Here is a 12,492-nt window from a genome sequence, read left to right on the forward strand (position 1 = left end):
GAATTAATCTTCACACAATCTTATACAGTTAGCTGGTATTATTACTCCATTTTAAAGGTGAGGAAATTGAAACACAGAGCAGTTAAGTACCTAGCCCAAGGTCACACAGCTATTCAGAAGCTTATCTAGGAATCAAACCTAGATGTGCTTAATCCAGAATCTGTGATCAACACTATTTAAACGCAACCTGAAGAAGGCAACTAGTGTAGGGGTTAGTATTAAGGAAGTAAACTCAGCAGAACTGGCTCATTCCTAGATTGGAAAAGAGTGAGGGTGAGGAGGCAATGAAGAATGATCCTGAGTGCCTGGTTTAGGTGGAACCATCTGGCACTTGTCAGAGAAGAAAAGAATCAAAAGGCAGAGTCACAGGTGTGGGAGATAACAGGCTGAGCATTGAGTTCTGGGGCCCGTGGGACTGCACGTGGATGGCTTGCAGGCTCAGCTTTGGCCTAGGGAGTCAGACCCTGCCTGCTTCTGGGCCCCAGAGCCACCCCCATCCACTTGTGATCTGGGAAAGTCATTTAACACCAGGACCCTTGTTTTCTTATCTGTAACATGGAGATGCTGGTAACTCGTGCCTCATAAAATCACTTGATGTGGGTGAGAGAGAAAGCTAAGTGTTGATGACAGTGTGGGCCTGACCGTGCCTGAGTAAGCCCCATGGGAACACAGCCGTGGTGGGAAGCAGCTTCCCAGCAGCCCTCCCCGCCATCGGGAGAATCCCCTGAGGCCATGAGAGGGTCTCAGGGAGGTGGACGGCCCATCAAGTGAGAACCGAGGGCACTGTGCACTCCTGAATCCTAGGACTCCTCTTAGGTAAGCCTTTGAGATTTTACTTTGTTTTGGATAAACTGATTCTTCCAATATATATATATATATATATATATATATATATATGTATATCAAAATCTCACTAACTTAGCAAAATTATAGTTAGATAGTAAAAATAGGTTCTAATTCTCTATAGCACTGAGGGTGAATATAGTTAAGAATACTTTATGTTTTCTAAAAGCTAGAAGATTTTGAATGTTCCTAACACAAAGAAATAATAAATATTTGATGTAATAGATATGCTAATTACCCCAATTTGATCTATTTTATATACATATAGAAATGTCACTCCATATCCCATAAATATGTGCAATTATTATGTGTCAACTGAAAATAAAAGAAAAAATACCAATAAAATATGAAACTTGATTTTAAAAAAATCTTACACACTTAGTAACAGCAAAATAACTGAGTGGTAAACATCATCTTATGTCTGCCCTAGAACGTCAGGAAATAAATTCTGAAGCTAGAAAAGGGATTCCTGCATTTCTAAGAGTGTTGACGTTACTATCTGGACCAGCCAGCTGCACTGAGAGGTGGTCCTACTGACTCAGCACGTGCTTGAATCACAGGGTTCAGGTGGTAGATGGGTGAGCGGCACTGATTTCAGATTAAAACAGCAACTCTCTAGAGACCTTATTTCTATTAATATGTTCTACTGCTGGGACTGACTACAGCATCTAACAGGCCACTTCACTGTTTTGTTTTAAAGATTTAAAACAGATCAGAGTCAAAGCTTGCATTCTTTGACCCTCTATCTGGTTGATGATTCTGAGTAAAAGGAGAATGGGTGTGACTGACTCAGCTCCATGGGACATAAAGCAAGATAAAAATGAGGGCACAATGGAAAACAAGTGACAGCAGTGAGAAGCAGAGCATCCTCTCTGCTGCGAAGCATGTTGTCTGTGTCGTTGGCAATGCTGGAGAAGCTATTGGACAGAAAGGGGAACTAAAAAAGTGTGGCTCCCACAGTACATCCAACTGGGCTTGTTTAAGACACACACATAAAGTGCTGGACTGGAGGGAAATTGGAGACTATGTGGCCACACACTTGCACCAACAGCCAGAATGGGGAAGTGGCCTAGTGAAGCTTAGCTGTGCAGAACCGGGTTCCCAGCTCCTGATTCCTGATGCCAATTAATTCCTAGTAACCAGGTTTTATTTGTATTTTGTTCAAAGCCCTCCTTCTCTGTGCAGCATCCCTAGGCCCTCTGTCCTGGAGGGGTGCCTTCCCCTCTGACATGGCACTACCACCTGTCATCTCTGCCCAGCCCGGGCTGGGCACTTTCTTCAACCTTTTGTTGCGGCCACTTTCCTTGACTTTCATCTTCTAGAGTGGGAGATTGAAGGGATGAGAAAATTGCAGTTCAGAGATGTTAAGGAGCATATCCAAGGTCAAAGCCCACTTGAAAGAGAATTTGTTGAGGTCCCCAGAAAGTTAGCCACTACTTGCTTTTGACTCCCCTGCCTACCTGACCACCTCTTCTCTGAGTACACAGAGTGGCTCTGAGGAAACTGCAGGTGAACCCCACCTGTGCCAGCCCCTGGAAGCCACCAGTCTGTTTTCTGATATAATGATTTCGCTTTTTCCTTTTTGGTAAGGTTATATACATGTATTTATATAGCCATTTGGTCTTGCTTCTTTTACTGAGCAAAATTTATTTAGAATTTTCTTCATTGAAAAGTTTTTACCTGCAAATTTAATGCCTTTAATAGATATAGGACTACTGGTTATCTATTTCTTTTTTTAATGAGTTTTGATAATTTTAATCTTCCACGGAATTGGTCTATATCACATAAGTTTCCAAAATTATGGGCATAATGATGCTTTGTGGATTCTGTTATTATTTTGTAATGTCTGTGGGATCAGCAATGATGCTTCCTGTTTGAGTCATAATATTAATAATCTAGGTTTTCTTGTTTTCTTTATGATCCTCACTACAGCTATGGCAATTGTATTGATCCTGTTTTAAGAACAAGATTTGTTTCCTCTGTTGTTTTTCTGTTTTCTGTTATTAATTATATCAACCTGCTCTAATTTATTCTATTTTATTCTTTCTGCTTGTTTTAGTTTTAATTTTATTCTTTTCTCTAGTTTCTAGTTTTCCTAAGTAGAATATTAGGTTAATAAATTTAAATCTTTCTTTCTAATATAAGGCTTTAATGTTATAAATTTCCCTCTAAGCACGCATTTAGTTGTATTCCCCCAAATTTTGATATGTTTTATTTTCATTCTCTTTTCATTTTTTAAATTAATACACTTTTTAAGAGCAGCTTTGGGCTTACAGAAAAATTAAGCATATAGCACAGAGAGTTCTATCTATACCTATTATTCACCCAAACACACGCACACACGGTTTACCCTAGCTTTTTTGTTTGTTTGTTTGTTTGTTTGTTTGACATGGAGTTTCGCTCTTTTGCCCAGGCAGCAGTGCAATGGCGTGATCTCGGCTCGCTGCAACCTCTGCCTCCCGGGTTCAAGCAATTCTCCTGCCTCAGCCTCCCAAGTAGCTGAGATTACAGGCATCTGCTACCATGCTTGGCTAATTTTATATTTTTAGTAGAGACAGGATTTCTTCATGTTGGTCAGGCTGCTCTCGAACTCCCGACCTCAGGTAATCCGCCCACCTCGGCCTCCCAAAGTGCTGGGATTACAGGCGTGAGCCAGCACGCCCGGCCAGTTTACCCTAGTATTAACATCTTGGATTAGGGTGGTACTTTTGTTACAGTTGATAAGCCAATATATACATTATTTTAACTAAAGTTCATAATTTACATTAGGATTTATTCTTTTTATTGTATATTCTACGGGTTTTGACAAACTTATCATGATTTGTATTCACCATTACTGTATCCTATAAAAGAATTTTACTGCCCTAAAAATTTCTGTGCTGTAACTGTTTATCTGTCCTTTCCTTCTCCCAAATCCCTGGCAATGACTGAACTATTCACGGTGTCTGTAGTTTTGCCTTTTCCAGAATATCAGGTAGTTGGAATCATGTAGTATGAAGTCTTTTCCAATTGGCTTCTTTTACTTAGCAATATGCATTTAAGTTTCCTTTATGTATTTTTACAGCTTGATGGCTCAAACTTTTTATCACTGAATAATACTTTTTTACTTTTTTCACTGAATAATAATTCAGTATATGGATGCACCACAGTTTATCCTTTATCCATTCACCTATTGAAGGACATCTTGGTTGCTTTCAACTTTCGGTAATTATGAATAAAACTGCTAAAATATTTGTGTGCAGGTTTTTGTATGGACAGAAGTTTTCAACTCATTTTGGTAAATACCAAGGGCTATAATAGCTGGATCATATGGTAAGCATATGTTTAATTTTGTAAGAAACTGCCAAACTCTCTTCCCAACTGGCTGTGTGGGAAGTGACCGTTTGTATTACCAACAATGAATGAGAATGCCTGCTGCCCCTTATCCTTGCCAGCATTTGATGTTGTCAGTGTTTTGGATTTTAACCATTTTAATAGATGTATAGGAATAGCTTACTGTTGCTTTAATTTACAATTTTCGAATGACATATGATGTTAAGAATCTTTTCATATGCTTATTTGGTGAGCTGTTCATATCTTTTGCCTGTTTTTTCAAATTGCTTTGTTTTCTTATTGTTGAGTTTTAACAGTTCTTTGTGTATTCTGGATGCAAGTCCTTTATCAGATCTGCAAATATTTTCTCCAAGTCTGTGGCTTCTCATTTTATTTTCTTGACAGTGTCTTTTACTGAGCAACAGTTTTTAATTCTAATAAAGTCCAACTCTTTTTTAATTTTAATAAAATCCATAAAATTTTGCTTTCATAGATTGCCCTCTTGGCAATGTATCTAAAAAGTCATCACCAAATTTAAGGTCACCTAGATTTTCTCTTATTCTGTCTTCTACAGGTTGCATTGTTCTGTTTTTTACATTTAGATCCCTGATCTAAGTTACTTTTAGAGAAAAGTGTGAGGTCTGTGTGTAGATTATGTTGTTGTTGCTGTTGTTTGTGGATGTCTATTTCTTCCAGCACCATTTGTTGAGAAGACTATGCTTTCTCTATTGAAATGCTTTTTTGCTCCTTTGTCAAAAAAATCAGTTGTCTATATTTATGTGAGCCTTTTCTGGGCTCTCTGTTATGTTTCATAATCTAGCCATTCTTTCCTTGTCTTGATTACTGTGGCTTTATAGTTACTCTTTAAATCAGGTAGTGTCAGTCTGCTGACTGTTTTTCTCTTTCAATATTGTGTTGGCTATTCCGGTTTTTTGCTTTTATACAAAACTTTAGAATTAGTATGTTGATATCTACAAAATAACTTGCTGGAAATATTACTGGGATTGCATTGAATCTCTATATTTAGTTGGGAGAAACTGACATCTTGATAATATTCCGTATACATGGAATATCATTCTGTATATTTAAATCTTCTTTGATTTGTTTCATCACAGTTTTATAGTTTTCCTTATATAGATTTTGCACATATTTTGATAAATCTGGTACTTTTTTGTTAGATTTATACTTACATCTTAATGTCAATGTAAGTGATAATGTATTTTTAATTTCAAATTTCAATTGTTCATTGCTGGTATATAAGAAAGCAATTGACTTCGCATATTAACCTTATAACTTGCAATCTTGCTTTAATCACTTAGTTTCAGGGGTTCTGTTATTGTTGATTTTGTGAGATTTTTCTATGTAGACAATCATGTTATCTGTGAACAAAGTTTTATTTCTTCCTTTACATATACCTACCTTCCATTTCCTTTTCTTGTCTTAATGCATTAGCTAGGACTTGCAGTACTATGTTGAATAGGAGTGATTAGAGGAGACATTCTTTCTTTTTTTCTGGTCTTAATAGTAAAGCATCTATATATTCTTACCATTAAGAGTGATGTTAACTGTAGAATTTTTTAGATGTATTTTATCAATTTGAGAAATTTCCTCAATATTTCTACTTTGTTGTTCTTGTCATGAATGGGTATTGGATTTCCCTAAATGCATTTTCTGCATCTCTTGATACAATCATATGATATTTTGGATTGCATACCTGGAATAAATACCACTTGGTCATGACATATAATTTGTTTTACACGTTGTTAAGTCCAACTTACTAATATTTTGTTGAAGGTTTTTCTGTTCATTCTCTTCTAGTTCAAAATATTTTAAAATTTCTCCTGAGATTTCCTTTTGAGCAATGAGTTATTGATAAGAGTTTTTACGTTTCCAAATATTTGAGAATTTTTCAGATATCTTCTGTTATTGCTTTTTATTTTATTTTATATGGTACACAGACTTTTTATGATTTTTATTCTTTCAGATTTATTTTTAATTTTTAAAAATATGCTTTTAATTGTTTTTGTACTGATCTGGAACATGGTGTATCTTAGTGAACGTTTCATGTTTTTCCTGCTGTTATTGGGGTTGCTTTACACATCAGTTCGGTTAGGTGGGTTATGAATGTTTTTGGTCATCTAACATTACTATTTTTTGCCTGCTTGTACTGTAATAGCAATTACTGAAAAAGAAGTATTGAAGTCTCTAACTATAATTATAGATTTGTCTATTCCTGCTTTCAAATCTACCAGTTTTTAGCCTTATGTAACTTAAATTCTATTGTTAAGTCATTTCATAGTTTTTCATTCTTAAAGGATAATACCAGAATATACTTATATTTCTGAGTTGGCAGGTTTTTTAAAATCTTTCAGCATTTTACCTGTGTTACTCCATTCTTTCTGGTTTGCATGATTTTGGAAAATTTTCAACCATTATTACTTCAATTATTTCTTCTCTAATGTCTTTTATTTCTTTCTGGATTTTCTGATTACTTATATATTAATAAATACACAGCTCTTTTGCTTTGTGGAGGTTTTTTTTTTCTTCTTCTTTTTTTTCTTCTTGCCTTTTAGTTTAGGCCATTTTTATTGTACTTTGTACCTTTCTAAGCGCCCCAATTCTTTGTTCAGCTGTGTGGAGTGTAATGAAGAACCTATGGATGGCATTCTTCACATCCTTAGGTGTGTTTGGTTATTTTAACTTCCCTGTATGATAGTGCCTACATTTGTGTCATACCTGGGTTTGGTTCTGATTGCTTTGCTTCTTCAAACTATGCTTTTTCTTGCCTTTTTGTTTGTTCTACAATTTTTCTTTTGAAAGTCAGATATATTTGTAAGAAATTAGATATTAGGCTGAGGCAGGAGAATGGCATGAACCCGGGAGGCGGAGCTTGCAGTGAGCCGAGATCGCGCCACTGCACTCCAGCCTGGGCGACAGAGCGAGACTCCGTCTCAAAAAAAAAGAAATTAGATATTGAGTAAATAGTTTTCATGCTTTGAGACAAGCATGAATGGGTGTTGGATTTCCCTAAATGCATTTTCTGCATCTTCTTCTCCTAGGCCCATGTATACAATGGGTTTTGCATTAGTGACCTTATAGATTGGGCTGGGTTTGGAGTTTGTTGTTGCCGGGGTTACCCACAGTGCATGCGAAAGCTCAGATTCAGCTTATTCAAAAGATGCCTGGCTTGTCTCACCACTGCACTGGGGTCTTCCCTTTGTGCTGCTTCCCAAAGAGTCTGCCTCTTGCTGCTCTCTGAGTTATACCCCACTGTGGTTCTTATTCTACACTTGTTATGGTGGGTGGGGGTTGTAGGACATATGTGTTCTCTCAACAATTACTATTTTGACCTACATACCTGTGGTGTGGTTAGTTGATCATAAATTCCTTAAGAATTAAAGCATCTTTGATTAGAGTCTTTCTAAGTAGAAATACTCTAAGTCTACTAGGCAGAAACGTGACATGAGTTGCTCTATAGGGATTTTTAGATTTTTTTTGCCCAGTTCCTAAACCTAAGGACAGTTCACATAACTGAAGTTCTATGATTGACGGAGAAGCTCGTTTGTTTTGAAGGACGACCCTGACTGACAGCTGTACATACACACTGCAACTCTATACCTTCCCCAGAAGGGCTTGTTGCTATCTGCCAGAGTTACTGTGCACTGGAAAGGAAAATATTCACATGCTAATTTCTAGGTCCCCAGAAAGTCAGTGTGGCCTATCATTGAGAGTGTGTGCCATAGTTCATAGAAGTGAAATACAGTCTTAACTTGAATTCAACTCATACTGGCTCCTATGGTTTGTACACACACCTTGAGGTAAGTTTCTGATCCTAGAATGTAATTGGGACTAGTTATGCTTAGTAACATGCAGAGTTCTCACATTAGCTTCCTGGTGTGTAATGAATGTGATTTTAGTAGGAAAGACTTTGGAATGCCCACTCTCCAAGTTATTAACAAAGCAATACCACATTCCAGGGGAAATTTCAGAGATTAATGCCACCATAAAGCTCTTGAAAAATAAAGGTATTGTGATTCCCAGTATAGTCTATGTAACTCTCCTTTATGACTACTGCAATAAATTATAAAGATCTTGGAGGGTGATCAGGGACTGCTGAACAATTAATCAGATAGAGACATTGCTCAGAATATAGTATTTTAACTGGAGTAAATCAGTGAAGTCCCTGGCACCTGCTATTTAGCTATTGCCCTAGCATTTCCCCACCTAAATCTTATCAGCAAAGATAATGGTTTTATGCAGTTTGCCTGTGACAAGAGCAGCAATATACCTTTGGTGTCTTAACTCCAGGCTAGGTTTGCTCTCCTATTCTCTTTTGGTATATTGTTTTGAGAGACTCTGATTTTGCTAATTATCCATAAAACCTCACACTGATCCATTATAATAATGTCATCATACTAACTGGATCTTCAAAGTAGGAGGTAGCAAACAGACTTGGTTAGACCCATGCATATCCCAGGCTGAGAAATAAGTCCTACAAATGTTTAGGGATATGACATATTAGTGAGATATCCAGGGACATATGAAAAGAAGAATTAAATACAAAAGTATTTTTTTAAAATTTTTTTTTACTTCTTTAAAAAAAAAAGAAATGCAAAAGAGTGAGGCTTCAGAAGACTCAGCAAGTCAAAACACAACAGGCATTTAAATGGGAAAAACTCCTCAAAACCTGTCGAGGTTAATGAGTTTTCACGTAACCTGTTTATCATGGAGAAAGTAATTTTCTCACATATTATCATATCCACAAAGACATGACTTATCTTCAAATATCTTCAGTTATATTAGGGGCCAAGGTTGGATTTATTTTTGTTAGAGAATCAGCAACTGACAGGGAATTCTGATGGTTTTATTATTTCTGGTGTACATCAGTATACAACATAATGTTTTGAAACTGTCTGTGGAATGCTTACTCACGGGGGACATAAGGGGAGATACCAGTTTTGCCCCAAATAGCCCACATCAGGAATTGCTTCCATCTCTGCTTTCTTGGCTTTTCTAGGTTTGGAGGCTCTGGTGATAAGGGGAACTGCTTCCAGCAGAAAACAAAGTCATAGCGGTGTGAAACTGAGACCACCCAGTTAGGGCTTTACGTGCCACGAGAACCACATGCAGATGAGGTGGTTGGGTGAACCGTTCAAGGTGCTGTAGCTTTCAGGCGAGTATGACTGAATTGACATCTCCTTGTTATGATCCTGTAGCTGATGGGACTCCGTCATTTCCCTGGGACAGAACCTTGGTTTTTCGTACAGACACAGAAATACTTGATGTTGACAAAGAAAAGTGGTGGGCTATGCTGGGCCATCTGCTTTTGCCCTTCCAGACCCGACCTCCACTTTCAGCATGCGTCTGTCCCCAGGATGGGCTGGGCTTGTGGGTGGTGCAAGGAGAGAGTGGTATTACACCACTGCATCCCTCCATGCCAGGTTCCTGGGGTGGCAGTGACTACTTTTCTCTTCTGGAAGCACAGCTTCTTGTGTCTTTCTTTTAGAACAGCAGTTTCCTTGCTGATGTTTTGTGGCCCCTCTTTCCAGCTGCTGGCCCTGGAAAAAGTGCCAGCAAAGTTCCTCACAGTTCTTTGCTGTTTTCCATTACTGTGCCCATGTTATTGTAAATTATTGTTGCATTGAAGCTTTCTTCAATGTGCCACCTATGTCCTGTAAGGAGACTGAAACAATATCAGAATATCAGAAAATACCAGAATATGAAAGTGACCGTTAACAACAACAACAATGACAAAACCACTTTCTGACAGCCTGGAGTTTTCTGAACTCTCCTTCACTGGAGGTTTTCATTAAGGTTGGTTTACATGACCTCAAATCATAGACAGACTACAGAACTAAATAAATCAGTTAAGTTGGGTGGTCACCCCTAAGAGCTGTGCAGAGAAACTCAGATAGCTGATGGTCAATGGACTAAATGAGCTTCACTGTTTTTCTAATGCCAGCACAGACTCTTATGGGTTCCCATCTGGCTTGCAGACTCAATTTTATGAGTTTTCTCTTAACCAAATGTGTGTGCTGTAGTCACTTTTGAGACTCTGGTTTTGGTAGTAAAGGGCTCTAGTATTTTTTGTAAGGCAAGTAAGACAATGCCATGTTCGCACTGTGTTCCCAAGTCTGAATGAAGAGAATACAGATCCGGAAACAGACATAGCTGATCTATTCTATCTCCATTGTAAAATACAGCAGAGATTTCTGGTTAAGCATGAATAATAAGGCTGGGCACAGTGGCTCATGCCTATAATCCCTGCACTTTGGGAGGCCAAGGGAAGAGGATTGTTTGAGCCCAGGAGTTCAAGAGCAGCCTGGATGGCCTACAGAGGCCTCATCTCTACCAAAAAAAGTATAATAATTAGCCAGGTGCAGTGGCATACACCTGTAGTTCCAGCTACTAGGGAGGCTGAGGACCCAGGAGTTAGACATTTCCGTGAGCTATGATCATGCCACTCCACTCCAGCCTGGGCAACAGAGTGAGACCCTGTCAACAACAACAAGAAGAATGAATAATAACAGAAATTTAGAAATAAATTTAGTAGAGTAGAGACACAATAGCAGTGCGGAAGATGCAGGATGGATTAGACTGTTTGATATGTAATACTTCTATCCTTTCTCCTTAACGGCTTAGGATAAGATGGGGTGGAAGGGGCTAGAAGTGTATTGAAAAGAAAGATTAAGCAAAGCCAGGGTTAGAACCTGTAATACTATACTTTGTTAAATCAGGAAGTGAATCTCATGTAATCATATAAGATTTTGTTGTCTGACCTTTAGTTTTCTATGTCACAAAATATTTTTGGTATTTAGAGCAGTGTCTAATATATAGTAATTCTGAATAGCTATTTGTCATGTGGAAGAATGATACTTCCACTTGAAATTACAGAAATGAGCTTAGCAATTCCTGTTGTGATCAGCATAGCTATGTCACATTATAGAAAATATTGGCCGGGCACGGTGGCTCACGCCTGTAATCCCAGCACTTTGGGAGGCCGAGGCGGGTAGATCACGAGGTCAGGAGTTTGAGACCAGCTTGGCCAACATAGTGAAACCCCGTCTCTACTAAAAATACAAAAAATTAGCTGGGTGTGGTGGTGGGTGCCTGTAATCCCAGCTACTTGGGAGGCTGAGGCAGGAGAATTGCTTGAACCTGGGAGGCAGAGGTTGCAGTGAGCCAAGATAGTGCCATTGCACTCCAGTCCGGGCGACAGTGTGAGACTCATCTAAGAAAGAGAGAAAGAAAGAGAGAAAGAGAGAAAGAGGGGAAGGAAGGAAGGAAGGAACAAACGAACGAACGAGGGAAGGAAGGAGGAAGGAAAATATTAATGGATATGTAAAGCAGTTGACTTCTGTTTATTATGGCAGAAAGGGTATCAGAAAGAACTAAACCCTCTCCCATGTGTAACCAAAACTCTGGCCCAGACAAATGAGAGGCTACTCATGTATGCCAGGCACATGGGGGAAGGGAGGCAGGCAGACAAGGAAAGGCTTCCTCCTGGCTACTCAAAGCTGGATGACCAAGGGATGCTTGAATTTTCTCCAACTCTTTGAAAGACTATACTCGATTCCATTTCTTATTTCATTATACTTTTTCATGCATTAGCCTCATCACCCTGGACAGCACAGTCGTTAAGCACTTGTTCAACCAGAGAGCCAAGCAAAGGTTCCTGCATTGTACAAAGCCATTGTCTTTGGCCCCAGTGATTCTACAAGGTGGTGGAAATTCCCTATTTTTACATTCCATTTGTGTATGGTTTATTTCCCTCATCGTGATTGTACACATGTGATTTCACTGGAGCCTCAGAAGCCTCTTGTAGATGAGAAATGTAGCCCTGCAGCGGCTCTCCTCTTTCTCCAGGGAGAGTCGGGTGGCCCACGTTGCTCGTCCTGAGATTCTGAGCAGAGCTCACCTCCTGCCATGTGGTCACTGAGTAGCCTGCCAGGCTCTGCTGCCTTCTCAGTGGTCACACTTATATAAAGACATTTGAGAACAGAAGTGACAGTGTTAATCTAAACACATTATTTGCCTGCATAAAATTTATTTTGCAATGGGATTGGCAAAAATGTATCTAACTTGCCAAATTTTCTGAAATGGATCCCTGAATTTGAGATGTTTCTTAGTAGCCTGGGAGGTGCAGTTGTACCTGAATGTCAGAAGATTGCATGCTTACATCTGTTTTCAGATAAGTAGTAAAAATGCCAGGCATTTTAATGGAAAGTCACTTGTCACTAATGAAACAGATGATTTACTCTTTTGTCTTTCACACTGGTAACCATGGCAGTACATCTCAATTCTTGTAGAACATTATTTCTAAGATAATTCCTCAAG

At 38.6% G+C, this 12,492-nt stretch overlaps 2 long non-coding RNA genes across 7 annotated transcripts in view; one reads left to right on the plus strand and one right to left on the minus strand.

Annotated features, from left to right (window-relative positions):
• The first annotated feature begins 628 nt into the window (after positions 1-628).
• The window catches only part of LINC02248 (long intergenic non-protein coding RNA 2248), a 94,817-nt gene continuing 82,953 nt past the window's right edge, over positions 629-12,492 (plus strand). For all 5 annotated transcript variants that reach the window (XR_001751453.2, XR_001751451.2, XR_001751452.2 and 2 more), the window contains exon 1: positions 629-816. This is a non-coding gene — a long non-coding RNA (long intergenic non-protein coding RNA 2248). The remainder of the gene's footprint in view (positions 817-12,492) is intronic.
• LOC105370740 (uncharacterized) overlaps positions 9,006-12,492 on the minus strand; it is a 74,705-nt gene continuing 71,218 nt past the window's right edge. The window contains exon 6 of one of the 2 annotated variants that reach the window (XR_007064792.1): positions 9,006-9,838. This is a non-coding gene — a long non-coding RNA (uncharacterized LOC105370740). The remainder of the gene's footprint in view (positions 9,839-12,492) is intronic. The other variant, XR_007064791.1, reaches the window with a different exon arrangement.

The sequence above is a fragment of the Homo sapiens genome, chromosome 15 (genome assembly GCF_000001405.40).
Source record: "Homo sapiens chromosome 15, GRCh38.p14 Primary Assembly".
Classification (NCBI taxonomy): domain Eukaryota; kingdom Metazoa; phylum Chordata; class Mammalia; order Primates; family Hominidae; genus Homo; species Homo sapiens.